The sequence below is a fragment of the Homo sapiens genome, chromosome 3 (assembly GCF_000001405.40).
Source record: "Homo sapiens chromosome 3, GRCh38.p14 Primary Assembly".
NCBI classification, from domain to species: domain Eukaryota; kingdom Metazoa; phylum Chordata; class Mammalia; order Primates; family Hominidae; genus Homo; species Homo sapiens.
In genome coordinates, this window is record NC_000003.12 from 197,911,296 (window position 1) to 197,938,344 (window position 27,049).

The following is a 27,049-nucleotide window of genomic DNA, read 5'->3' on the forward strand; positions in this document are numbered from 1 at the left end:
TCGAGAGTATTAGCAATGTTTATTAAAAGTCACAAAATACTAGTCTCTGAAACAAAAATCTCATGACTGAGATTGGCTTTTAGTAAATAGTTGCCATGAAGAAAAACAGTTCTTTGGGCAAAGCTTTAATGAGTGCATTATTTATAATAACAAACTTTAGAAACAACCTAAATATAAAAAAAAAGTGTAACAAATAAACTGTGGCACAACCATTCAATGGAACGTTAAACACAATTTTCAATTATTTTATAAAGAAACTGTAATAACATAAAAAATGAAAAGCAATGAGTAATTTTAAAAATCTTCACTCAACTGGGAATGTTATTTTTATAGTGTAAAAGATTAGTAAATTTTTTTTTTTTTGAGACAGATTCTTGCTCTGTTGCCCAGGCTGGAGTGAGTGGCATGATCTCGGCTCACTGTAACCTCTGCCTCCTGGGTTCAAGCGATTCTATTGCCTCAGCCTTCTGAGTAGCTGGGATTACAGGCGCCCGCCACCATGCCTGGCTAATTTTTGTATTTTTAGTAGAGACGGGGTTTCTCCATGTTGGCCAGGCTGGTCTCGAACTCCTGACCTCAGGTGATCCGCTGGCCTCTGCCTCCCAAAGTGCTGGGATTACAGGCGTGAGCCACCATGTCCGGCCTTTATTTATTTTTCTTTTTTATTTATTGGCCACTATACTATTGGGAAAAATTTTTAAATATAGTCATAATTTAAAAATAATTAATTTAAAAATTATGTCTTTTTTTGGTTTTTGTTTTTGAGACGGGGTCTCGCTCTGTTGCCTAGGCTGGAGTACGGTGGCGTGATCTCAGCTCACTGCATCCTCTGCCTCCCAGGTTCAAGCAATTCTCCCACCTCAGCCTCCTGAATAGCTGGGATTACAGGCGCACCACCATGCCCGGCTAATTTTTGTATTTTTTAATAGAAACAGGGTTTCACCATATTGGTCAGGCTGGTCCCAAACTCCTGAACTCAGGTGATCCACCCTCCCCGGCCTCCCAAAGTGCTGGGATGACAGGCGTGAGCCACTGTGCCCAGCCCATAAATTTGTAGGTCATAATTTGACTTAATAAATTTTAAGTCATAAATTAAGTCATAATTTGAAAATTATGAGTATACAGCAATATAGAAATCGAAAAATTTCTTATGTAAGCTCAATGATAAAAGCAGAAAACAAAATTTTACCTGCACTCTCTCAAATTACAGCTATATAAGATATCTATTCAGATGCATAACCCTGAAAGAAAACATGAGCTAAAGTTCATTAGGCTGAAAGAATGATGGTTGGTTTTCCTTCAAAATATTCTTTTTGTTTCCTCAGTATAAGCAGAGTACAAAAAAAAAGTCAAAGCATAGAAAAGCTGTGGGGACCCACCTGCTGCTCCTTTCTAAGGAACATTTCAATCTCTGTATGAGTCCGGGCCTCTTCTTCGGTTTTCATCCTGAGTTTCTGTAAGAACAATCAGATACCAGTACGTCTTCCCCGCAGGGCTGGGAATCAGAAGTTCTCAAGATGAGAGCAGCAGCTCGGTCGGTAGCTGAGGCTCCCTTTACCAGCTGGGATCCCGGGCTTTCAGTTCCCTGCAACTCCTGTTCACCAACACTGCAGAGCCACGTGGCGCGGCACTGTGTGGACTGCGTGTGTCCCTAACGAGACGAGCACAATCCCGTGAGCTGAACAGAGGTGCCCACTGAAGGACAGAAACGGCGCTCCAAGGGCACAAGGCTGTGGGGCTTAAAAAGGGGGATTCCGGAGTGCCAGGAAGAGTGTTGACGTGGCCTTGAGCCACGTCAGTCTCAGAGCGAGGAGTCCTCCCACACACAGATTCCACGGCCCAAGGACGTTTGTTCCTGCTTCCCTCTTCCCATCTGCCTGCTGCTCTTTCTTGTTTTCTTTTCTTTTTTGTGAGAAGGGAGTCTCCCTAGTTGAAGTCTGAAGTTGCCCAGGCTGGCTTCAAACTCAAGGATCCTCCTGCCTCACTGCCTCACCTCCGATTAGCTGGGACTAGTGCCTGGCTTTGCGTGTGTGCGTGCGTGCGTGCGTGCGTGTGTGCGTGCGTGCGTGTGTGCCATTTAGCATTCCCCTCAAAGAAGATCTACCACTTCTTTCTTCCTCCTGGCATTTTTCACCGTGACTTCTCATCCTATAAACTCAGGTTTGAACGAAGTTCAGCGCTCTCGATGCTGTATTTCTTACTGGAGGAGTGAAAGGTACTGGTTAGATGAAAGAAACAGCAGCAAAATCCTGCCATAACTAAGCACCTCGTTTTGCCCTCTCCCTATAATTAGTCAGAAAAATGGTGATTGGTTTGCCAAAATAAGAAGTGACCAAGGAGAGAAAGTGCAGCCAATTTTCAAAGTCATTATGAGGCGGGAGATGGAGGCTACAGCCCACTGGAATCTCTGCTTGCGAACACGCATATCCTCATTTAGGCTTTTATTTTCAACCTCAAGTGGAGGGGCTGTTGCCGATAGAGATGGAGGGAAATCTTTGTCTCCCTCCTTTGTTAGCTGAGAGGGGATCAGGAGTGACAGCTCAATTGCCATCTCCTGGGTTCTTGGCTAATGTCCCAGGGATTACCTCAATCTCTTCCACCAAGAGTTCCTCTGTTCTGTTACACTTTTTCTGGGTCTGGGCAATCTGCAGCTCGGTATTGGTTTTCATGTAGCGATTCTCCAAGTTGGATTTTGCCTTCATCTCTTGCAGTTGGTCCTTGAGGTTAGCAATATACTCATTCTGACTCTGTAGTGGAAAGACCAGGTTTCTAAATTGAAAATACATTCTACCTCCATTCAGTTCAGTCAGCGGCTTACGGTTCCCTTTTATGCGTATAAATCAATAAGGAACTGGAACTATTTTTCCGCTGTCACACAATGGGAAATTTAGCCAACAATCATGAAGTGTATAGATGAAAGTGAGTAACACAGCATTTCTAAGAATCAGGGCGCATCAGGGCTGTGAGATTAGTTCCCAGGCACATTATTGCTGTACTCCGTATGTCCCACACAGCTTTCTCATTTTGGTAGGAAGAACACTGGTCAAAATGATCAAAAGAACTGACTTCCCACCCAGGCCTCCAGCTGTGTGAACTTGGCCAAGTCAAATCTCCAACTTTTTACTTTCTATAAAACAAACACACAAACATACAAACACCCAACCTGCCTGAAGTATCTCAGAGAGTGATTATTAGGTTTCCTTGAGAACACGTGTGAAAACGCTTTCTTTTTGCAGGTCACCAAGTGCTTGGCAATTGTGAGGACTCAATAGTCATTAAGAAAAATATTTATTCAGCACCAGGCACTGAGCTAGGAAAATTGTGGAGATCTAAACAGACATATTCCCTTCCCTCATAGAGCTTACAGTCTAATAGAAGAGAGGTGGTTAAAAAGAGACAAACACATGTGTAAACTTCCAAAAATTGTGCAAAATGATAGAAAAGGAAGGCTCGAGAGGCTGTGGGAGGAAATAACAAGGGAGGAGTACATTAGACTCTGGAAGGTCTGAGAAGGACTCTCTCGGGAAAGCGATGGCTCATTCGATACCTGAAGGACAGGTAAGCCCACCACATGAAAAATAGGCTTGGCCAGGCACGGGGGCTCACGCCTGTAATCCCAGCACTTTGGGAGGCTGAGGCATGGCGACCAGCTGAGGTCAGCAGTTTGAGACCAGCCTGGCCAACATGGTGAAACCCCGTCTCTACTAAAAATACGAAAAATAGCTGGGAGTGGTGGCGGGCGCCTGTAATCCCAGCTACTCGGGAGGCTGAGGCAGAAGAATCACTTGAACCCGGGAGGTGGAGGTTGAAGTGAGCTGAGATCATGCCACTGCAGTCCAGCCTGGGTGATAGAGCGAGATTCTGTCTCAAAAAAAAAAAAAAAAAAGAAAAGAAAAAGAAAAAAAGGAAAGAAAAAGAAAAGAAAAATAGGGTTAAGGGAACTCTAAAAAAAAAAAAAAGAATAAGTATATGCCCAAATCCTGAAGCAATCAAGACCTGGATACATTCCAGGAACTGAAAGAAAGCTCCGGAGGCTCTAGCCTAGTGAGGGTTGAGGGGAGGACAGGATGAGGTTGGAGGTCGGTAAGGGCACCACACAGGACCCCGGAGACCCAACTGAGAAATTCAGATTTTATTCCAACTGTCATGGGAATCCTTGGAAAGCTTTTAGTCAGGGAGGTAACATTTGTTTGAAAAGAACTGTTTGGGCGGAATCAGTGTGTGAGTAAGTCCACAGGGAGGGGACCTGACGGCACAGCAAACAAGCACACGACTAGCAACAAAAGTGCTTCAACCCGAGACCTGCTCCTCTAGATACCAACCGCCTTTCTTCTCTTTTTACATTTTTTTTGAGATGGAGGCTCGCTCTTGTTGCCCAGGCTGGAGTGTAGTGGCATGATCTTGGCTTACTGCAAGCTCCACCTCCCAGGTTCAAGTGATCCTCCTGCCTCAGCCTTCTGAGTAGCTGGGATTACAGGTGCTCACCACCACACCCAGCTAATTTTGTATTTTTAGTAGAGATGGGGTTTCTCTACATTGGTCAGGATGGTCTTGATCTCCCGACCTCAGGTGATCCACCTGCCTCGGTCTCCCAAAGTGCTGGGATTACAGGCGTGAGCCACCACGCCTGGCCTCCAATTGCCTTTCGTCTTAACCATGTAAGTAGGGTAGAATTAGTTCTTTTGTATTAAAAAAATTTTTTTGTTTAGAGACAGGATCTCCCTCTGTCACTCAGGCTGGAGTGTAGTGGCTCGATCACAGCTCACTATAACCTCCAATTCCTGGGCTCAAGCCATCTTCCCAAGTAGCTAGTACTACAGGTGCATGTCACCATGCCTGGCTAACTTTTTAATATTTTTAGAGATGGGGGTCTCACTCTGTTGCCCAGGCTGGTCTCAAACTCTTGGCTTCAAGGGATCCTCCTGCCTTGGTCTCTCAAAGTGCTGGGATCACAGACATGAGCCACTGCGCCCGGCTTTGTTGTTGTTGTTGTTGTTGTTGTTTTTGAGACGGTCTTGTTCTGTCACTCAGGCTGAAGTGCAGTGGCATGATCACGGCTCACTGTAACTTTGACCTCCCAGGCTCAAGAAATCCTCCTGCCTCAGCCTACAGAGTAGTTGGGACTACAGGTGCATGACATCACACTCAGCTAATTATTATTATTATTGTAGAAACAGAGTCTCACTGTGTTGCCCAGGCTGGCCTCGAAACCCTGGGCTCAAATGATCCTCCCACCTCAGCCTCCCAACATGCTAGGATTACAGGCAGGAGCCACTGCTGCAGCCAGCCTCTTTTCTTTCTTGAGATAGGGTCCACCGTGTCCCCCAGGCTGTAGTGCAGTGTCACCAGCATAGCTCACTGTAGTCTTGAACTCCTAGACTCAAGGAATCCCCTCTCTCCAGCCTCCCAAGTACCTAGGGAATTAATTCTAAGTAACCATTGGAAGAAAAAACAAAGTGGTAATTGGACAAATCCTCCGTTAAGGAAAGCAAGCATAGGCAGCGGTGTCCAATCTTTTGGCTTCCCTGGGCCGCACTGGAAGAAGAATTGTGTTGGGCCACACACAAAATACACCAATGATGAACTAAAAAAAAAAAAAAATCACACAAAAAAATCTCTCATAATGTTTTAAGAAAGTTTACGAATTTGTGTTGGGCCCCAGTCAAAGCCATCCTGGGCCGCATGTGGCCTGCGGGCTACAGGTTGGACAAGCTTGACTTAAAGTATCATTAGGCCCCAACCTGGTGGGGTGGCTCACGCCTGTAATTCCAATGCTTTGGGAAACCAAGGCAGGAGGCTCGCTTGAACCCAGGAGTTCAAGAGCAGCCTGGGCAACACAGTGAAAACCTGTCTCTACAAAAAAATTTAAAAATTAGCTGGGCCTGGTGGCATGCGCCTGTAGTCCCAGCTACTAGGGAGGCTGAAGTGGTAGACTCCCTTGAGCCCCGGAGGCCGAGGCTGCAGTGAGCTATGCTCATGCCATTGCACTTTAGCCTGGGCAACAGAGCAAGACCCTGTCTCAAAAAGGTCCCTAAGATGAATCAGAACGGAATTCTTCAAGTTATTTTGTCTACTAGCTTCTTGATATAACTCTGCAGAATCATTCTAATTGTATGACAGTTATTCCAACTAGATCGGAATCATTCCTAAGAGACGGAGCATCTCTGGCACAGAATATGCTATAGGCCCTTTGAAAATATGTCTTAATATTTCATATTCTCTTACAAGTTGTAGGATTGCAGGCAAATTACTGGACCTCACTAAGCCTATTTTCTCATCTGTAAAATCCTGCCCAGGCTGGAGTGCCTGGCACAACTTATATGCTCAATAAATGTTGATGAAATGAATTTTAAGAGATGTCTGCTTTTGGCTCACTGTTTTTCTTCCATTCTTTCTATACGCACTTCCCTTCTCCCCTGTCTTCCCCATTTCTCTTTTCTCTTTTTTTTTTTTGAGACAGAGTCTCGCTGTGTTGCCCAGGCTGGAGTGCAGTGGTGCGATCTTGGCTCACTGCAACCTCTGCCTCCCGGGTTCAAGCGATTCTCCTGCCTCAGCCTCCCAAGTAGCTGGGATTACAGGCATGTGCCACCATGCCTGGCTAATTTTTTAATTTCTTTTTAGTAGAGATGGGGTTTCACCATGTTGGCCAGGCTGGTCTCCAGCTCCTGACCTCAGGGGATCTGCCCGCCTCAGCCTCCCAAAGTGCTGGGATTACAGGCATGAGCCACCATGCCCAGCCCATTTCTCCTCCTTCTTCCTCTTCCCTCCCTTCTATTTCCAAATTGTATGGCAGTCAGTGAATCTTTTTTTTTTTTTTTTGAGACAAGATCTCTCTGTTGCCCAGGCTGGAGTGCAATGGTGCGATCTTGGCTCACTGCAATCTCCGCCTCCCACCTCAACCTCCCGAGTAGCTGGGCCTACATGTACGTGCTACCACGCCACCACACCCAGCTAATTTTTTGCTTTTTTTTTTTTTTTTTTTTTTTTTGGTAGAGATGGGGTTTTGCCATGTTGCCCAGGCTGGTCTCAAACTCCTGGTCTCAAACAATCTACCTGCCTCGGCCTCCCAATGTGCTGGGATTACAGGCATGAGCCACTGTGCCTGGTATAGGTTTGAATCTTTAGGAAGACTAGAGTTAAAGCAAAAATGTGATGGTTTTACTTCTTCATCAACTGGAATCCTTTTACCTATATAATCCCTTAGATTTCCTTCAAGGTCCACCTTATATATCACTCAAGTAAATAAAGCCTTTTGCAGAAAACCTCAGCCCACATTGATAACTGTAGTTTTGTTTCTCACAGAATCTAAATAGTGTTAGACAGGGATTTATTGAATAGTGTCCGTACATACAAAAATATACTTTTGAAAACTCAAGAGCATGTTCTGGTAATTTTTCTTTCTCAAATGGAATATTAAGACTTCAGAGTAACAGTCTGAAGATCAGAAATGCAGAGTTAAAAGTCTTTAGCTTCTGCCCATGGTAAACAGAAGGTACTGCATCATGGAAGTGTTTTTTATTGTTGTTGTTTTAGACCGAGTTTTGCTCTTGTCGTCCAGGCTGGAGTGCAGTGATGCAATCTTGGCTCATTGCAACTTCGGTCTCCCAGGTTCAAGCGATTCTCCTGCCTCGGCCTCCCAAGTAGCTGGGATTACAGGCACCTGCCACTACGCTGGGCTAATTTTGTATTTTTAGTAGAGACAGGGTTTCTCCATGTTAGTCAGGCTGGTCTCAAACTCCTGACCTCAGGTGATCCACCTGCCTCGGCCTCCCAAAGTGCTGGGATTATAGACATGAGCCACCATGCCCGGCCAATGTAAGTGTTTATAAGGACGTACAACATTGGCTGTGCCAAGCCAAAGGCATCTGGTTTTAATGCCGTTGCCATGGGCCTCTGAGTACCCTGAGTTCCTTCCTGGATTGGTATTTTGCACAAACATTTTAATGGCCCTCCACGGTGACCGTGTGGAAACACAGAGAAAGATATAAAATCCTGACAGGCTATGATGGTAAAACCAAGATCGAGGCATACTAACAAGCGAGCGGAAGTGCTATTCCGTGTCCTCTTCTTCCCAGTGTGTGAGAACAGCCAGCCTAGAAGCAGTGGGGTACAGGCTCCTTTTCAGAGTTTCACTAAGAAAAGATTTGCCTTCACTACAACCTCGAATCCGAGTTGTCCATGGTGTCGGGAACCTTCCTCGTGGTCAGGTCCATGGACTGATGCATCACAGTTTTGGGTTTTCATGGCAGACCAAACATTACTTCCAAATCCCAAAATTGCCTTCAGATCGGGACCTCTGGACTTGTTATTCGAATTCAGAGAAGCATGATTTACTAATAAAAAGAGGCAGTCTACCAACTCGAGTTAATAAGGCTGTGATGGCTGCCATAATAACGTGAGCCAAGGGCTTTAATGGTAGTGTCTGCTTTCATAACTGTACATAAAGTACAGAACGGAGTACTGGTTCCTGGAAGTTTGGAAGCTACTATCTGGGAAGTTGGCACTTGTCTTAGACCTCAGGCTTCCCCTCTGGTTGGGTAGCAAAAGGAAAATGGTAATGTTGTCTATTAAAGAGACAAAAGCCACAGGAAAAAAATAGTTCTCTATTAAATTAACATTTACAGCCAGGCTCGGTGGCTCACGCCTGTAAACCCAGCACTTTGGGAGGCTGAGGCGGGTGGATCACTTGAGGTCAAGAGTTCGAGACCAGCCTGGCTAACATGGTGAAACCCCATCTCTACTAAAAAAAAAAAAAATACAAAAATTAGCCAAGTGTGGTGGCGTGCACCTGTAATCTCAGCTACTTGGGAGGGTGAGGCAGGAGAATCACTTGAACCTGGGAGGCAGAGGTTGTAGTGAGCTGAGATCGCGGCACTGCACTCCAGCCTAGGAGACAGAGTGAGATCACATCTCAAAAATAAAATAAAATAAAATAAATTAACATTTCTATTTGCTGTCTATGACTTAGAATACCGGCTGATACTATACGAGTCCATAGACTCAGAATAAACTCTGAGCTCCAGTAATCCTAGTTACTTGGGAAGCTGAGGTAGGACTAGTTACTTGGGAAGCTTGAGGCCAGGAGTTCAAAACAAGCCTGGGCAACAAAGAGAGAACCCCCCCATCTCAATTAAAAAAAAAAAAAAAAAGGCCAGTCGTGATGGCTCATGCCTGTAATCCCAGCAGTTTGGGAGACTGAGGCAGGTGGATCACCTGAGGCCAGGAGTTTGCGGCCAGCCTGGACAACATGGCAAAACTCCGTCTCTACTAAAAACACAAACATAAGCTGGGCCTGGTGGCATGTGTTTTACTATTGTTTTTGTTGCTGCTGTTAGAGTCAATGCTAGGCATTGATAGTTTTGATGCTATTGTAAATAATATATATAAATTTTCAATTTTCTATTCTAAATCTGTTGCTGATGTATAAAAGATAGATTTTTATATATGAATCTTGGTTCTTTTTTTCCCAGGAGTTTCATGGAAGTGCTGATCCATTGTTATCTTGCTTTGGATGTTGATGTTCAGAAGTCTGAAACTTTTTTTGCTTTGTGACTCTTTCTTTTTGCTGAGTATCTAAGGCAATTAATCCTACACATCTAAGCTACCACCAACACTTTCATATACAAAAACCTGCCATTCTTGTTGGCATCATTTTCTGACCCACAGTTCCCTAATGTGCATATACTTCCTATCTTCTTGTTTTCCAACCTTGACCTGACTACTGGTTTTCAGTAACTCCGGGGATTTAACCTGATTTCATCTTGGTCGACCCGACTACTGGTTTTCAGTAACTCCGGGGATTTCACCTGATTTCATCTTGGTCGACCCGACTACTGGTTTTCAGTAACTCCGGGGATGTAACCTGATTTCATCTTGGTCGACCCGACTACTGGTTTTCAGTAACTCCGGGGATGTAACCTGATTTCGTCTTGGTCGACCCGACTACTGGTTTTCAGTAACTCCGGGGATTTAACCTGATTTCGTCTTGGTCGACCCGACTACTGGTTTTCAGTAACTCCGGGGATTTAACTTGGTTTCTTCTTGGTCGACCCGACTACTGGTTTTCAGTAACTCCGGGGATTTAACTTGGTTTCTTCTTGGTCGACCCGACTACTGGTTTTCAGTAACTCCGGGGATTTAACTTGGTTTCTTCTTGGTCGACCCGACTACTGGTTTTCAGTAACTCCGGGGATTTAACTTGGTTTCTTCTTGGTCGACCCGACTACTGGTTTTCAGTAACTCCGGGGATTTAACTTGGTTTCGTCTTGGTCGACCCGACTACTAGTTTTCAGTAACTCTGCGGATTTAACCTGGTTTCATCTTGGTCGACCCGACTACTGGTTTTCAGTAACTCTGGGGATTTCACCTGGTTTCATCTTGGTCGACCCGACTACTGGTTTTCAGTAACTCTGGGGATTTCACCTGGTTTCATCTTGGTCGACCCGACTACTGGTTTTCAGTAACTCTGGGGATTTAACCTGGTTTCATCTTGGTCGACCCGACTACTGGTTTTCAGTAACTCTGGGGATTTCACCTGATTTCATCTTGATTGACCCGACTACTGGTTTTCAGTAACTCTGGGGATTTCACCTGATTTCATCTTGGTTGACCCGACTACTGGTTTTCAGTAACTCTGGGGATTTCACCTGGTTTCATCTTGGTTGACCTGACTACTGGTTTTCAGTAACTCTGGCGATTTAACTTGGTTTCATCTTGGTCGACCCGACTACTGGTTTTCAGTAACTCTGGGGATTTCACCTGGTTTCATCTTGGTAGTTCTTTTTTGTTCCAAGGCTTGCCTTGGATCTTCTAGTCTTGGTTTCTTTCTTTCTTTTTTTAAGACCCACTACGAAGCAGAATCTTGGTTTCTTAACCTATTTTTTTTGCTGATGATCACAATATCTGAATGATATTCTACTTTAATTTTACTTTGGCTGAATGTAATGGCTGAGAATATAATTAAGAGGATACATCTCAGGAGCAAGTGTTGTTGCTGTTAGGAAAATTCTACCATCAACAGGTGTGGTCCTTATGGTAGAATGGGAGTTAACTGGCAAAGTGCTAAATCTGAGGTTTCTTTTGACATTGCTTTGGAGGGCTTAAAAGGAGACTAATATAAATATCTTCTGGCCAGGCACAGTGGCTCACATCTGTAATCTCAGCACTTTGGGAGGCCGAGGCGGGTGGATCACCTGAGGTCAGAAGTTCAAGACCAGCCTGGCCAATATGGTGAAACCCCATCTCTACTAAAAACACATAAATTAGCCAGGTGTGGTGGCCTACACCTGTAATCCCAGCTACTTGGGAGGCTGAAGCAGGAGAATCGCTTGAACTCGAGAGACGGAGGTCGCAGTGAGCCAAGATCGAGCTGCTGCACTCCAGCCTGGGCGACAGAGCTAGACTCCATCTCAAAAATAAAAATAAATAAATAAATAAATAAATAAATAAATATCTTCTATTTTAAAACATACTTAAAAGATACTTATCTTCTATAAGATAATGTCAAAAGATTCATGACTTTTAAAATAGAAGATATTTATATTAGTCTTTTTAAATTATGAGAGTTTTTCAGGGAAAAGAGTTAGGAAACCTCTGAAAAAGTCTATTCATTACAGAGAAAACTTAAACACAAACTAGTTTTCATGAAGTTTCCCAGAGAAGAAAAGTAGTTTTTAAAAAATATAAGCTACATGCAGAGGGTTAAGAGGGATAATGACATCAAGACCTAGAGCTACCTAAGGTGCTTTGTAATTGGCAAATACAAAATAAGAGAAGGTGTTAGGCAATTTGCTTGGAAGACTTACAGATAATATCTTAAAAAAAAGTCTAGTGACTTTGTTTTTGAGACGGTCTCACTCTGTTGCCCAGGCTGCAGTGCAGTGGGGAGACCACAGCTCACTGCAGCCTCAACCTCCTAGGCTCACGCAGTCCTCCTACCTTAGCCTCCCACGCAGTTAGGACTACAGATGTGTACTACCACATCCAGATAATTTTTTTACTTTTCCAGTTATTTTTATAAGTTATTTATTTATAGAGACAGAGTCTTGCTATGTTGCCCAAGCTGGTCTTAAACCCCAGGCCTCAAATGATCCTTCCACCTCCTAGTGACCTTTTAAAAACAATTCTTCCATATAAACTTACAATATTCTCAGGCCCAGTGCAGTGGTTCACACCTATCATCCTAGCGTTATGGGGGGGCCAAGGCAGACAGATCACTTGAGCTCAGGAGTTCGAGATCAGCCTGGACAACATAGTGAAACCCTGTCTGTATCAAAAATTTAAGAAATTATCTGGGTGTGGTGGCAGGTGCCTGTAGTCCCAGCTATCTGGGGGCTGAGGCAGGAGAATCATTTGAGCCTGGGAGGCAGAGGTTGCAGTGAGCTGAGATCACTCCACTGCACTCCAGCCTAGGTGACAAAGTGAGACCGTGTCTCAAAAACAAAACAAAACAAAAAACAGTAAAAAATAAATAAATAAAAATATTCTCTCAGCTGGGCATGGCAGCTCATGCCTGTAATCCCAATGCTTTGAGAGGCCAAGGAGGGAGAAACACTCGAGGCCAGGAGGCTGAGACCAGCCTGGACAACAAAGCAAGACCCCACCTCTACGAACAATTAAACCGCAGCCTGGCGTGGTGGCACGTGCCTGTAGTCCCAGCTACTCAGGAGGCTGAGGTGGGAGAATTGCTTGAGCGCAGGATTGCAATGAACTATAATTGTGCCATTGCACTCCAGCCTGAGTGACAGAGTGAAGATCCTGTGTCTACAACAAATAAATAGGCTGGGCACGGTGGCTCACACCTGTAATCTCAACATTTTGGGAGGACGAGATGGGCAGATCACCTGAGGTCAGGAGTTTGAGACCAGCCTGGTCAACATGGTGAAACCCCGTCTGTACTAAAAATATTTTAAAAATTAGCTGGGCATGGTGGTGCATGCCTGTAGTCCCAGCTACTCGGGAGGCTGAGGCAGGAGAATCGCTTAAACCCAGGAGGCAGAGGTTTCAGTGAGCCGAAATTGTGCCATTGCACTCCAGCCTGGGTGATGGAGTGGACAGGGTGAGACTCCATCTCACTCCACCAAAAAATAAAAATAAAAATGAAATATATAAATAAAATAGTTTTCCAACGTCTATGTAGGGAATAACGAAAATTCCCTTCTGTGAAGCATAAACTTGTCCAAACAGCTGGTCAGTGAAAAGCTGATAACGGGCCATCCTCTGTAACTTTCTCTTTTCTTTTTTTGAGACGGAGTCTCGCTCTGTCACCAGGCTGGAGTGCAGTGGCACTGTCTTGGCTCACTGCAACCTCCGCCTCCCAGGTTCAAGCGATTCTCCTGCCTCAGCCTCCTGAATAGCTGGGACTACAGGTGCGCACCACCACACCCGGCTAATTTTTGTATTTTGAGTAGAAACGGGGTTTCAGCATGTTGGCCAGGATGGTCTCGATCTCTTAACCTCGTGATCCGCCCGTCTTGGCTTCCCAAAGTGCTGGGATTATAGGCGTGAGCCACCGCGCCCGGCCATCCTCTGTAACTTTCTAAACTGCTCCTAGAAAAGTTGTCAGTCATCCTAATACAGCTGGTTTCTAACTGCTTAGGTTGTAGCCCCAACTTTGTTTTGCAAGTCAATTCCTTAAAACTTGGGATGCATTTTCTTATAAAAGTAAACTAGATACGAGGTTAGGTCCTAATGACCACAAAAGCTCGCAAATCCACTTTGTCCTCAAAATACAATACAAATAACATAATGAAGCCCAACCACTATGTATGAGAAGGTTCATAATGTGCTGAATGTCTTCTTTAGGAATATACTTTTCCATCTGGGATGTGAGAGTACAAGAGACTGCCTGAGACAAGGCCCCCTGTGGGGGAGGGTGGGGGTGTATGTGGGGTGGGATATGACGATGGGATGAGGTCATCTGTGGGGGAGGGTGGTGGTGTATGTGGGGTGGGATATGAGGATGGGATGAGGTCATCTGTGGGGGAGGGTGGGGGTGTATGTGGGGTGGGATATGAGGATGGGACGAGGTCATCTGTGGGGGAGGGTGGGGGTGTTTGTGAGGTGGGATATGAGGATGGGACGAGGTCATCTGTGGGGGAGGGTGGGGGTGTTTGTGGGGTGGGATATGAGGATGGGATGAGGTCATCTGTGGGGGAGGGTGGGGGTGTATGTGGTGGGATACGAAGATGGGAACTAAGGGCTCCAGGGGGTTGGGGTCTCGCAGGGCTCTATATTCCAGACACACCTGTACGACCCAGGCCAGCTCTCTACTTGCTATCTTTATATCTTCTGTTTTTTTTTTTTTTTTTCTGAGACGGAATCTCGCTCTGTCACCCAGGCTGGAGTTCAATGGTGCAATCTTGACTCACTGTAACCTCCCAGGGTTCAAGTGAGTCTCCTGCCTCAGCCTCCCAAGTAGCTGGGATTACGGGCACCTGCCACCATACCCGGCTAATTTTTGTATTTTTAGTAGAGATGGGGTTTCACCATGTTGGCCAGGCTGGTCTCAAATTCCTGACTTCAGGAGATCCGCCCGCCTCAGCCTCCCAAAGTGCTGGGACTACAGGCGTGAGCCACCGTGCCCGGCTATGTTTTCAATAGTAAAGGAATGCCGGAGGAAACAACAATCTTTTACATGTAACTCTTCTCTGCTTGAGAAAGATGGCTTCCATATATTTAATAGCTGTGTTAGCTCGGTCACTTTTGGTGTTAAGCAGGTAATTCTTACCTGGACTTCAAATTGCCATTCCTTTTTGACATTAATTAGCTGTTTTTGAAGTGATATTATCTGTTTTCTTCCTTTTTCCTCCCTAGAAGATATAAGAATGATTTGTGTTTAGAGCAGTGCTTCTCAAAACTTACGTGCACAAGGACCACCCCGCACATAAGAAAACCAGATTCCTGGCCTCTTCCCCCAGAGAATCTGACTCAGCAGGTCTGGGAGGGGCCTGAAGTGTGCATCTCTATCGAGTTCCCAAGCAATGCTAACAGGGCTGGTCCACGTCACATTTTCAATAACACGTTTTAAAAGACAGATTTGTTTTAATAGATTGGAGGAAGATTCTCTGGCTTGTCAGTGTCGAATCTAAAAATAGCTGCTGCTGAGAAAAAGTGAAGAAGAGAAGGACAGCAAGAGGAGAAAGAAGAATCCTTTCTACTTTGGGCACTTCAATTACATATTCTAACCCTCACAATAGCCTGATTTCTATTTTACCGATGAGAAAATGCGGTGTAGACAGCTAAGGTGAGTTGATGTGCTGGATGTGAGAATGTGCCTCACCGATCTCCAACTACAGGGGGCGTAAGTCAGCAAGGGTCCCGGCTTCTAGGCTCTGCAATCCTTCTCTGTGTGTTCTGAGGCCACACTGCCCACAGACTGCTCCCATCCCATTATTAAGTGTGGCAGGAATCACATGGGATGGGCCTTTCCTGGGGAGTCAGGGCGTCTCTGATGGTTGACTTTGGCTCAAGGACTCTTGATGACCTTGCCAAACACAGCCGTGTCTTCCAGCCTCTCCTTCACTGGGGGTCAGCCTTGCACTGGTTCTGAAGGTTCCCTCCCCATTTTCTCTCACGCAGATCTTTCCCCTGATAAAATCTTTGCATGAATAATTCCATCTCAGCATCCATTTTTCAGAAGACCTGGACTAACACACTTGCCATGGTCACACAAACAGTAAATGGCAGAAAGGGGTTCAAACTCAGGACTGTCGGACACCGGAGCCTGTGAACTTAACTACTTTGTATGACTGTTTCTCAATCTACTCTGAGAAACAGCCTTCTGCTTCTCTCCAGCAATCCCATTATTTAGGTTTAAAACAAACAAAAAATAGCAAAACAATACCAGAATAAACAAAACAAAACAAAAGAAGACTTCTCACTAAACTGCAGCTAGGTAAAGATTTTTACTCAAGAATTTCTATTTTTATGTATTTATTTTTCTTTTTTTGAGACAGAGTCTCACTCTGTTCTCCAGGCTGGAGTGCAGTGGCACGATCTCGACTCATTGCAACCTCCGCCTCCCGGGTTCAAGCAATTCTTCTGCCTCGGCCTCCTGAGTAGCTGGGATTACAGGCATGTGCCACCACACTGGCTAATTTTTGTATTTTTAGTAGAGATGGGTTTTTACCATGTTGGCCAGGCTGGTCTCGAATTCCTGACGTCAGGTGATCCACCCGCCTTGGCCTCCCAAAGTGCTGGGATTACAGGTGTGAGCCACTGCACCCAGCCAGGAATTTTTAGAAAGCACATAGTTAATTAACTAGAATCTTGAGATTGTCATTGCCAAAACAAACTATAGATTATGTACTTCCCACTCATAGATCACAAAAAATAGATAAGAAAGCTACAGAATGAGTACTTTCCGTCTACTATTAATTCAATATCCCAAGGAAAGGTTTATTGAAACAAACAAATATCATTTACATGAGATTATAAAAGTGCCCATTTTACACATATACACCATGGAATACTATGCAGCCATAAAAAAGGATGAGTTCATGTCCTTTGCAGGGACGTGGATGAAGCTGGAAACCATCATTCTCAGCAAACTGTCACAAGGACAGAAAACCAAACACCGCATGTTCTCATTCATAGGTGGGAGTTGAACAATGAGAACATATGGACACAGGGAGGGGAACATCACACACTGGGGCCTGTTGTGGGGTGGGGGGCTGGGGGAGGGAGAGCATTAGGAGAAATACCTAATGTTGATGACAGGCTGATGGGTGCAGAAAACCACCATGGCACATGTATACCTATGTATCAAACCTGCACGTTTTGCACACGTGCCCTAGAACTTAAAGTATCAAATGCAAAGAAAGTATGAAGAGAAATAAAAATCACCCATAATCCCACTATCTGGAGTTAACTATCATTGAAATTTTATTATATTTCCTTCCAGTCAATACACACTATAATTTTTTCTTACAAAACTAAGTTATATTATGGGTATTATTTTTATCCTAACTTTTTCACTTGACATAACCATGTGCTCTTTCTCATTTTATTTAGCAGGTGAACACATGCATTTATTTCTGTTCCCTCTTTTTTTTTTTTTTTTTGTTTTTTTGAGGCAGAGTCTTGTTGTGTCGCCCAGCCTAGAGTGCAGTGGCGCAATCTCGGCTCACTGCAACCTCCACCTCTCGGGTTCAAGCGATTCTCCTGCCTCAGCTTCCTGAGTAGCTGGGGACTACAGGTGCGCATCACCATGCCTCGCTAATTTTTGCATTTTTAGTAGAGGTGGGGTGTCACCATGTTGGCCAGGCTGGTCTCAAACTCCTGACCTCAAATGATCCATCCACATCGTCTTCCCAAAGTGCTGGGATTACAGGCGTGAGCCACCATGCCTAGCCCTCTGTTCACTCTTGAAACAATACTAAAATAACAGGCAAGAAATAATGAAAGGTGTAAACCTATAAACACAAAGAGATTGGGAGAAGAAATGATGCAGCTGACAGACATCAGCAAAATTAAAGAAGATATAAAGCAGACAAGAGAAAAATGAGATCTAAATGTGTACAGAATGAGAAGCTAAGAAGAAGAAAACAGAATAAAGCTACAGGCCCCCCAGAAAAGCTCAGCACATGAAGGCACTACACATCTTCGAAGGCACAACTGTGCCACAGGGCTAAATCCAGGTGGAGCGATCAAAAGTCTGGCAAAGGAGCAGGATGACCTGATTCCCTTCCCCAGCCCTGTGGCCAGGCAGCTGCCTTTTCTCCTCTCGGGAGATCATGGGTGTTTGGTTAGTTTTGGCCAGGTTGCCTGGAATGGTTGAACCAAGGATTTGGACTTGCAGACGGACACCAGACACAGCTGGAGGTGGAGATGAAGGACCATGCTAAAAACAGGGGGACCAAAAAACATTCTGCTTAATGGATGGTGAGTTTCCCCAGCCTTTCCCTGGCTAGCTCTCAACACATGGGTAGTCAGAGAATAACCACTGACAATAACCATTACTTCTTCACTGCTCCTCACCCCTCCCAGCAAAGATTGGTAGATTCTTCGAGAATGCTGACTACACCAAGGGAAAAGATGTACTTTTCTTTTCTGCCCAGCCATGCTACAGTGCAGTGTTGCCCACATGCACAGAGCAGAGCATCCATCAGCTTCTTGGCACTTCACTCTTAAATACAAACGGACAGCCAAAGATGACCAAACACAATTCCCCTAACATTAAAAACAGAGACTAGAGCCAGGTGCGGTGGCTCACACCTATAAGCCCAACACTTTGGGAGGCCAAGGTGGAAGGATCACTTGAGGCCAGGAGTTGGAGACTGGCCTGGGCAACATAGTGAGACTTCATCTCTAAAAAAACAAACAAAAAAAATTAGCTGGGCATAGTGGCAAATGTCTTCCAGCTACTCAGGAGGCTGAGGCAGAAGGATAGCATGAGCTCAGGAGTTCGAGGCTGCAGTGGGCTATGATCATGCCACTGCACTCCAGCCTGGGTGACAGAGTAACATTTGCTCTAAAAAATTTAGATGTAAATTAAAAAACAAAACAAAACAAAACAGAAAAACAGAAGGCTGGGCATGGTGGCTCATGCCTATAACCCCAGCACTTTGGGAGGCCGAGGCAGGCGAGGCAGGCGGATGAACTCTAGCATGGGCAACAAGAGTGAAACTCTGTCTCAAAAACAAAACAAAACAAAACAGAAACTAAAACAAATGGGAGAAAAAGTAACTCGGAGAGAAGAAAGACAATACAAGAAACAGAAGACAACTTAAACAAAAAAAGACAACTATAATTAATGTTCTTAGAAATATATGAGAAGGCCAGGCACGGTGGTTCAAACCTGTAATCCTAGCACTTTGGGAGGCCAAGACGGGCAGATCACTTGAGCTCAGGAGTTCGAGACCAGCCTGGGCAACATGGCAAAACCCCATCTCTACAAAAAAATACATAAAATTAGCTGGGCATGCCTGGGTCCCCAGCGACTTGAGGGGGCTGAGGCAGGAGGATTGCTTGAGCCCAGGAAGTCGAGGCTGCCATGAGCCAAGATCATGCCACTGCACTCTAGCCTGAGTGACAAAAAAGAATACTATAAAAAATGAAAAACTCAGGGAAGAGCTCTTAGAAATCAATGTTAGCATAACATTTTGAAAAATTAAACACAAGGGTTAGAAGATAAGGCCAGTTGTGGTTGGGGTTACAGGCGTGATCCTAGCACTTTGATTACAGGCATGATCCCAGCACTTTGGGAGGCCGAGGCGGGTGGGTTGTTTGAGCCCACGATTTTGAGACCAGCCTGGTTAACATGGTGAGACTCTGACTTTACAAAAATAAAACAATTAGCCAGGCATGGTGGCACACACCTGTGGTCCCAGCTACTCGGGAGGCTACTCACTTGAGCCTGGGACCCAGGATGAGGCTGCAGTGAGCTGTGGATCGTGCCACTGCACTTTGGCCCGGGAGGCAGAGCGAGACTCAGTCTCAGAAAAAAAAAAAAAAAAAGAAAGAAAAGAAAAGGAAGAGCCTGTGTTCCCAGCACTTTGGGAGGCCGAGGTGGGCGGATTACGAGGTCAAGAGATCAAGACCATCCTGGCCAACGTGGTGAAACACTGTCTCTACTAAAAATACAAAAATTAGCCAGGCGCAGTGGTGGGTGCCTGTAATCCCAGCTACTAGGGAGGTGGAGGCAGGAGAATCACTTGAACCCGGGAGGCGGAGGTTGCAGTGAGCCAAGATTGTGCCACTGCACTCCAGTCTGGTGACAGAGCGAGACTCCATCTCAAAAAAAGAAAAAAAAAAGAAAAGAAAAGAAAGAAAGAGTTGGAAGACAAAGTTAAGGAAATCTCTCTAAGAATAGAATAAAAACAATGCAGATGGTAAATGAGCAAAAAAGGACAAGAAAAATGCAGGATCAATCATTACAGGATCAACATCCAAAGAGAGTTCCAGGCCGAGCGCGGTGGCTCATGCCTGTAATCCCAGCACTTTGGGAGGCTGAGATGGGTGGACCACTTGCAGTCAGGAGATTGAGACCAGCCTGGCCAACATGGTGAAACCCCATCTCTACTAAAAATACAAACATTAGCCAGGCGTGGTGGCAGGCGCCTGTAATCCCAGCTACTTCGGAGGCTGAGGCAGGGGAATCGCTTGAACCTGGGAAGCGGAAGTTGCAGTGAACTGAGATCGTGCCACTGTACTGCAACCTGGGTGACAGAGCAAGACTCCATCTCAAAAAAACAAAACAAACAAACAAACAAAAAAAGAGTTCTAGACAGAATTCATAAATTGAAAGGTTCTGGAAAAGAAAAACTTTCCTTGGCATTCATTTGTTATTGTTCAGTGATTTTCAATGAATTAAATCTATTTTTTTTTTTGAGATGGAGTCTTGCTCTGTCGCCCAGGCTGGAGTGCAGTGGTGCGATCTCGGCTCACTACAAGCTCTGCCTCACTACAAGCTCTGCCTCCCGGGTTCAGGCCATTCTCCTGCCTTGGCCTCCCAAGTAGCTGGGACTACAGGCGCCCGCCACCACGCCCGGCTAATTTTTTGTATTTTTTAGTAGAGATGGGGTTTCACCGTGTTAGCCAGGATGGTCTTGATCTCCTGACCTCGTGATCCGCCCGCCTCAGCCTCCCAAAGTGCTGGGATTACAAGCGTGAGCCACCGCGCCCGGCCGAATTCAATCTTAAGAAAGGTTACTAGAGAAGGAAGAATGGTCTTGATATATTGTAAATACAGATAATGAAGTCCTAGAAATCTGACTTATTGTCCCAGCAGAACTAGGAAGAAAACCCAAATTCTGACTTCTAGTTATCTTCCCTGGAAAGCACACGGTTGGTTTGCTTTAAAATTCAAGGATTTCCAGTAAGAGTGTTTTAGCACTTTAAAATACAGCAAAGCAAGTAAACCTAACATGACTCTGACCTGGCAATGATGTCATAGAAATGCATTTTGTTTTCCCTCTCTTTGCTCAAAGCTTGCAGGAGACTGTTGTAAGTGGCCGAATCTTGCAACTCCTTAATGGTATCTGCAATCACATCGCTGAAAAACTGCCTGTAAGGAGAAACAGACCAACAAAAAATGAGTTAATAAATTCTATTTTCAGCCGGGCATGGTGGCTCACCCCTGTAATCCCAGCACTTTGGGAGGCTGAGGCAGGCGGATCACGAGGTCAGGAGATCAAGACCATCCTGGCCAACATGGTAAAACCCCATCCCTACTAAAAATACAAAAAAATTAGCCAGGCGCGGTGGCAGGTGTCTGTAATCCCAGCTACTCGGAAGGCTGAGGCAGGAGAATTGCTGGAACCCGGGAGGTGGAGGTTGCGGTGAGCAGAGATCACCAATGCACTCCAGTCTGGCAACAGAGTGAGACTCCGTCTCAATAAATAAATAAATAAATAAATAAATAAATAAATAAATAATATTTTCAGGCCAGGTGCAGTGGCATGTGCCCTAATTCCAGCTACTTGGGAGGCTGAGGTGGAAGAATTGCTTGAGCCCAGGAGTTTGAGATCAGCTGGGACTACACAGCAAGACCTGGTCTCAAAAAATATATATATGTATTATATATATATGTATTTATATATGTATTATATATAATATACATTATATATGTATAATATATATTATATATGTATAATATATGTATTATATATGTATTATATGCATATTATGTATTATATATATGTATAATATATATTATATATTATTATATATTATATTATATTGTATTATATATTACATATTATATATGTATAATATATATTAATATAAAATATTATATATTATACATATATATAAAATACATATATTATACATATATATATAAAATACATATATTATACATATATATATATAAAATACATATATTATACATACGCATTTCCCTACATTCACAAAGGGCTACAGAAGTCACACAAGTTAAGACCCAGGCCAGGTGCAGTGGCTCACGCCTGTAATCCCAGCACTTTGGGAGGCCAAGGTGGGTGGATCACTTGAGGTCAACATAGTGAAACCTCGTCTCTACTAAAAATACAAAAATTAGCCAGGTGTGGTGGTGCCCACCTGTAATCCCAGCTACTCGGGAGGCTGAGGCAGGAGAATTGCTTGAATCCAGAAGGCAGAGGTTACAGTGAGCTGAGATTGTGCCACTGCACTCCAGCCTGGGCAACACAGCCAGACTCTTGTCTCAAAAAAACACAAAAAACAAAAAAACCGCAAAAGTTTGATTAGGTCTTTAAAAAAATTTTTTTAAATGATTTAACTTTTTCAAAATTATGAAGTATTTCAAAAATTCAGAAAGTATAAAGAATAAAATAATGAATATTTATGTACGTAACACCAAATTTAAATATTTTACCATGGTAGAGACTTGGTTTTTTTTAAAGATTACATGTGTCAGATATATCTGAAGTCTCTAGTCCCAGTCCCCTCAATCTTCCCCAGAGATAAACACTCTTCTGAATTTGGTGATTATTATTCTCTAGCATGTTGTGATACTTTTATTATGTGTTTGTGTGTTTTATTTAAATAATACATGTAGTTTTACATGTTATTATTTTTATTTCATTTTTTTTTGAGATGGAGACTCGCTCTGTTACCCAGGCTGGAGTGTGGTGGTGTGATCTTGGCTCACTGCAACCTCTGCCTCCTGGGTTCAAGCGACTCTCCCGCCTTAGCCTCCTGAGTGGCTGGGAGTACAGGCATGGGCCACCTCACCCAGCTAAAAAAAAAAAAAAAAAAAGAAGTTTTCTTTAATTTCTAGTTTGCTAAGAGGTTTTTAGTGTTGATTTTTATATGTTGAATTTTGCCAAATGCCTTTTCTGCATCTATTGATCTTTCTATTTATTTATTTTTTTACATTTTCTAATGCTAAACTATTTTTGCATTCCTGGGATAATTCCAATTTTCATTATGATGTTCATTCTGGGTCTTTTTTTTTTTTTTTTTGAGACAAGAGTGTCGTTCTTGTTGCCCAGGCTGGAGTGCAGTGGCACGATCTCGGCTCACTGCAACCTGCACCTCCCAGGTTCAAGCGATTCTCCTGTCTCAGCCTCCCGAGGAGCTGGGATTACAGGCACGTGCCACCACACCCAGCTAACTTCTGTATTTTTAGTAGAGACAGGGTTTCACCATGTTGACCAGGCTGGTGTGAAACTCCTGACCTCAAGTGATCTGCCCACCTCGGCCTCCCAAAGTGCTGGGATTACAGGCGTGAGCCACGGCGCCCGGCCAAACGTTCACATTTTCGAGATGAGTAAACCAGGTTCAGGAAACATTCACATTTTTGAGATGAGTAAACCAGGTTCAGGAAAGTTAAGTGACTTGCCCGTGGTCACATACCTAGTTTGAGAAAGAGCTGGAGACATATAGCCCAGGTTTCCTAACGCGTAGTCCGCTGTTCTTCATGATCCTCTCCTAAGTGGAGCTGTTTAGGCCGGGCACAAGAGCTCACACCTGTAATCCCAGCATTTTGAGGGGCCGAGGCAGGAGGATCGCTTGAGTCCAGGATTTCAAGACCAGTCTGGGCAACATAGTGAGACCCCCTCCCCCCACCCCATCTCACAAAAATTAAAAAAAAAAAAAAGGCTGGTCATGGTGGCACGTGCCTGTAGTCCCTGCCACTTGGGAGGCTGAGGTGGGAGGGTCGTTTGAGGCTGTAGTGAGTCATGTTTGTGCCACTGCACTCCTGCCTGAGTGACAGAGTGAGACCCTGTCTCAAAATAATGATAATAATAAAATAAAAATTAAAAATGGCTATTTAATGTCTTGACACAGTTGGCAAGAATTATAGTTACTATTTTACATAACAACTCAAGGGAGAGGGAGATTTAGAGAATAGCCAGTTTTAGCTGGTATGGTAAGGAAGTCCCCTTTGCTTTAATCTTTCCAAGAAAAGTAATTTTGTGGCCGGGCGCAGTGGCTCATGCCTGTAATCCCAGCACTTTGGGAGACTGAGGCGGGCGGATCACCTGAGGTCGGGAGTTCGAGATCAGCCTGGCTAACATGGTGAAACCCTGTCTCTACTAAAAATACAAAATTAACCAGGCGTGGTGACGCACGCCAGTAATCCCAGCTACTCGGGAGGCTCAGGCAAGAGAATCGCTTGAACCCAGGAGGCGGAGGTTGCGTGAGCCGGGATTGCGCCACTGCACTCCAGTATGGGCGACAGAACGAGACTCTGTCTCCAAAAAAAAAAAAAGAAAAGAAAAGTAAATTTGTGATTTTTAAAATTGTTAATTAATTAATTAGAGACAGGGTCTCGCCCTGTCACTCAGGCTGGAATGCAGTGGCATGATCGTAACTCACTGTAACCTCAACCTCCCCGGCTTGAGTGGTCCTCCCCCGCCTCAGCCTCCTCAGTAGCTAGGACTAAAGCACGCCACCACGCCCAGCTAATTTTTTTCATTTTTGTGGAGATGAGGTCTCGCTATGTTGCCCAGGCTGGTCTTGAACTCCTAGCTTCAAGCACTCCTCCCACTTCAGCCTCCCAAAGTGCTGGGATCACAGGTGTGAGCCACCGCCTGCAGCCAGGAAAGTAACTTCAACATGACCATTCACGTTATAGTCTCTGTTTCTGCTTTCTTCAGCCCTTTCTGCCTGTAAAGCCAACCTCCTCTGCCCAGGTCATCAGAACAGTACTTCTACTTCATAGAATGAGGTGTTGCCTGATTTAGAATTGCAAATAAAAGCCAATTAAGATGTTTAGATTTGTGGCCTGGCGCGGTGGCTCACGTCTGTAATCCCAGCACTTTGGGAGGCTGAGACGGGCGGATCACCTGAGGTCAGGAGTTCAAGACCTGCTCGGGAGGCTGAAGCAGGAGAATCACTTGAACTCAGGAGGCGGAGGTTGCAGTGAGCCAGGATTGTACCATTGTACTCCAGCCTGGGCGACAGAGTAAGACTCTGTCTCAAAAAAAGAAAAAAAAAGATATTTAGATTTGTTGTAATTTTGTCTTTTGACAGTAGTATGTTATGATAAAATAATTATTAATTCAATGCAATAAGACAATAATGCATAAAGATGAGTACAGCAAGGAAAGCATACACAAGCTTCCTACAAATTCCCATTTTAAATTCATAAAGAGTTGTAGTTTTTTTGTTGTTGCTGTTTTGCTTTTTAAGTTTTTTTTTGAGATGGGGCCTCACTGTCACACACGCTGGAGTGCAGTGGCACAATCACGGCTCACTGCAGCCTCAATTTCCTAGGCTCGGGTGATCCTCCCACCTCAGCCTCCAGAGTAGCTGGGACCACAGGCCCACCACCATGCCCAGCTACTTTTCTTGATTTTTAGTAGAGATGAGATTTCACTATGTTACCCAGCTGGTTTCAAACTCTTGGGCTCAAGCAATCCTCCCACCTTGGCCTCCCAAAGCATTAGGATCACAGGTGTGAGCTGCCACGCCTGGCCTGTTGTAGTTTTTATGTCCTTGATATTTTGATTTCCACTTGATTCTGGATAACTGGTGGAGATGTACATTTTGTGAATATACCCTGGGTTTCAGATGGAATATAAATCTAAAACTAATCCCCTACAAATAATTGCGACTGGTATTTTGGGTCTTTCAGGAAAAGATACGAGCCACACACTGAGAATGAAAAGGACATGAAGCGGGCAATTTATAAGCAGGTTGCCTTTCTGTCCGATGCAGATCTGGGCCAGGCTGACTTTAGCAAGATCTTACTCTTGGTTAGGGTCGAATACCGAGGTCAGCAAACTCTTTCTGTAAAGAGGCACGTAGTAAATATTCGGCTTTGCAGGGCGTAAGTTCTCTTTGGCAACGACTCAACTCTGCATTGTGGCATGAAAGCAGTCACAGGCAACGTATAAACAAATGGGCGATGCCGTATTCCAATAAAGCTTTTCAAAAACAGACTTCAGACTGGATTTAGCTAGTGGTCCTGCGTAATTGCAGTAAAAACTCTCATTTACCAAAAGTTCTTAACGTAATGTTACACCCTCTTAACAGGCTTATTTGTCATCGAGCCAGCTGACAACAAAACATTATGAGACAATGGGAATTTAGACTGCCTTTAAGAAACCCTCAGGATTAAAACACAGTTTGGAATTTGGCTATGTAGAATAATAATAGCTATATAGTAGCTATTAATGGATAAAGCATCACAATAGCTACCAAGCTGTGCCAGGTACTAAAGCCTTATTTCTAACCCTTACACTAAGGTTGCAAGGTTGCTATCACGGTCTTTTTCTTTTCTCTTTTTTTTTTTTCAAGACAGAGTCTTGCTCTGTCACCCAGGCTGGAGTGCAGTGGTGCCATCTCAGCTCACTGTAACCTCTGCCTCCCAGGTTCAAGCAATTCTCCTGCCTCAGCCTCCTGAGTAGCTGGTGCCGAGGCACCTGAGATTACAGGTGTCCACCACCACGCCTGGCTAATTTTTGTATTTTTAGTAGAGACAGGGTTTCACTTTATTGGCCAGGCTGGTCTTGAACTCCTGACCTCGTGATCCACCAGCCTCTACCTCCCAAAGTGCCGGGATTACAGGTTGAGCCCCCGCGCCCAGCCCATTCTCATTTTTAATAATTGAAAACAGCCAGTGTGGCTGTAGTCCCAGCTATGTGAGAGGCTCACTGGAAGCCAGAAGCTTGAGGGCGGCAGTGCTCTATGATCTCTCCAGTCAATAGCACTGGCTTCCAGCCTGGGCTACAGAGTGACCTCGTCTCTAAAAAATAAACAATCTGCAGGTATACAGCTGAAGGAAAAAAAGAAAAAGAAAAAAATTTAAAAAATAAATAAAATAAAAATTGGAAACAAAGACAAAGGGCCGGGCGCGGTGGCTCACGCCTGTAATCCCAGCACTTTGGGAGGCCGAGGCGGGTGGATCACCTGAGGTCAGGAGTTCAAGACTAGCCTGGCCAACATGGTGAAACCCGTTGTCTACTAAAAAATACAAAAATTAGCCGGGCATGGTGGCGTGCACCTGTAATCCCAGCTCTTCAGGAGGCTGAGGCAGGAGAATTGCTTGAACCCGGGAGGCGGAGGCTGCACTGCGCCGAGATCAGACCATTGCACTCCAGCCTTGGTGACAAGAGCGAAACTCCATCTCAAAAAAAAAAAAAAAAGACTTAATAAC

The 27,049-nt window shown here is 44.5% G+C and overlaps 1 protein-coding gene across 9 annotated transcripts in view, besides 3 other annotated features; it reads right to left on the reverse strand.

Moving 5' to 3' along the window:
- The window catches only part of DRC9 (dynein regulatory complex subunit 9), a 71,101-nt gene that overhangs the window by 22,219 nt on the left and 21,833 nt on the right, over positions 1 to 27,049 (reverse strand). For 6 of the 9 annotated variants that reach the window (XM_024453790.2, NM_001323028.2, NM_032263.5 and 3 more), the window contains 4 exons: positions 20,879 to 21,007; positions 14,729 to 14,810; positions 2,586 to 2,747; positions 1,380 to 1,454 (listed from right to left, as the gene is read on the reverse strand). In XM_024453790.2, coding sequence (XP_024309558.1) covers positions 1,380 to 1,454; positions 2,586 to 2,747; positions 14,729 to 14,810; positions 20,879 to 21,007 — 448 coding nt within the window. Of the gene's footprint in view, positions 1 to 1,379; positions 1,455 to 2,104; positions 2,201 to 2,426; positions 2,748 to 14,728; positions 14,811 to 20,878; positions 21,008 to 27,049 lie in introns of those variants that run through there. The other 3 variants (XR_007095755.1, XR_007095756.1, NM_001323030.2) reach the window with 2 other exon arrangements.
- Positions 1,336 to 2,535: an enhancer, noted in NCBI's record as "BRD4-independent group 4 enhancer chr3:197639502-197640701 (GRCh37/hg19 assembly coordinates)". NCBI's record gives its function as "activates an origin of replication core promoter dependent on BRD2, P300/CBP, MED14 and CDK7 cofactors, and independent of BRD4, by STARR-seq in HCT116 cells {active_cell/tissue: HCT116}" and the evidence as "EXISTENCE:reporter gene assay evidence [ECO:0000049][PMID:35650434]".
- Positions 1,336 to 2,550: a biological region, named in NCBI's record as "BRD4-independent group 4 enhancer GRCh37_chr3:197639502-197640701".
- Positions 1,919 to 2,550: an enhancer, noted in NCBI's record as "H3K27ac-H3K4me1 hESC enhancer chr3:197640085-197640716 (GRCh37/hg19 assembly coordinates)". NCBI's record gives its function as "activates a minimal SCP1, AML or CMV promoter by ChIP-STARR-seq in naive H9 embryonic stem cells {active_cell/tissue: H9 hESC(naive)}" and the evidence as "EXISTENCE:reporter gene assay evidence [ECO:0000049][PMID:30033119]".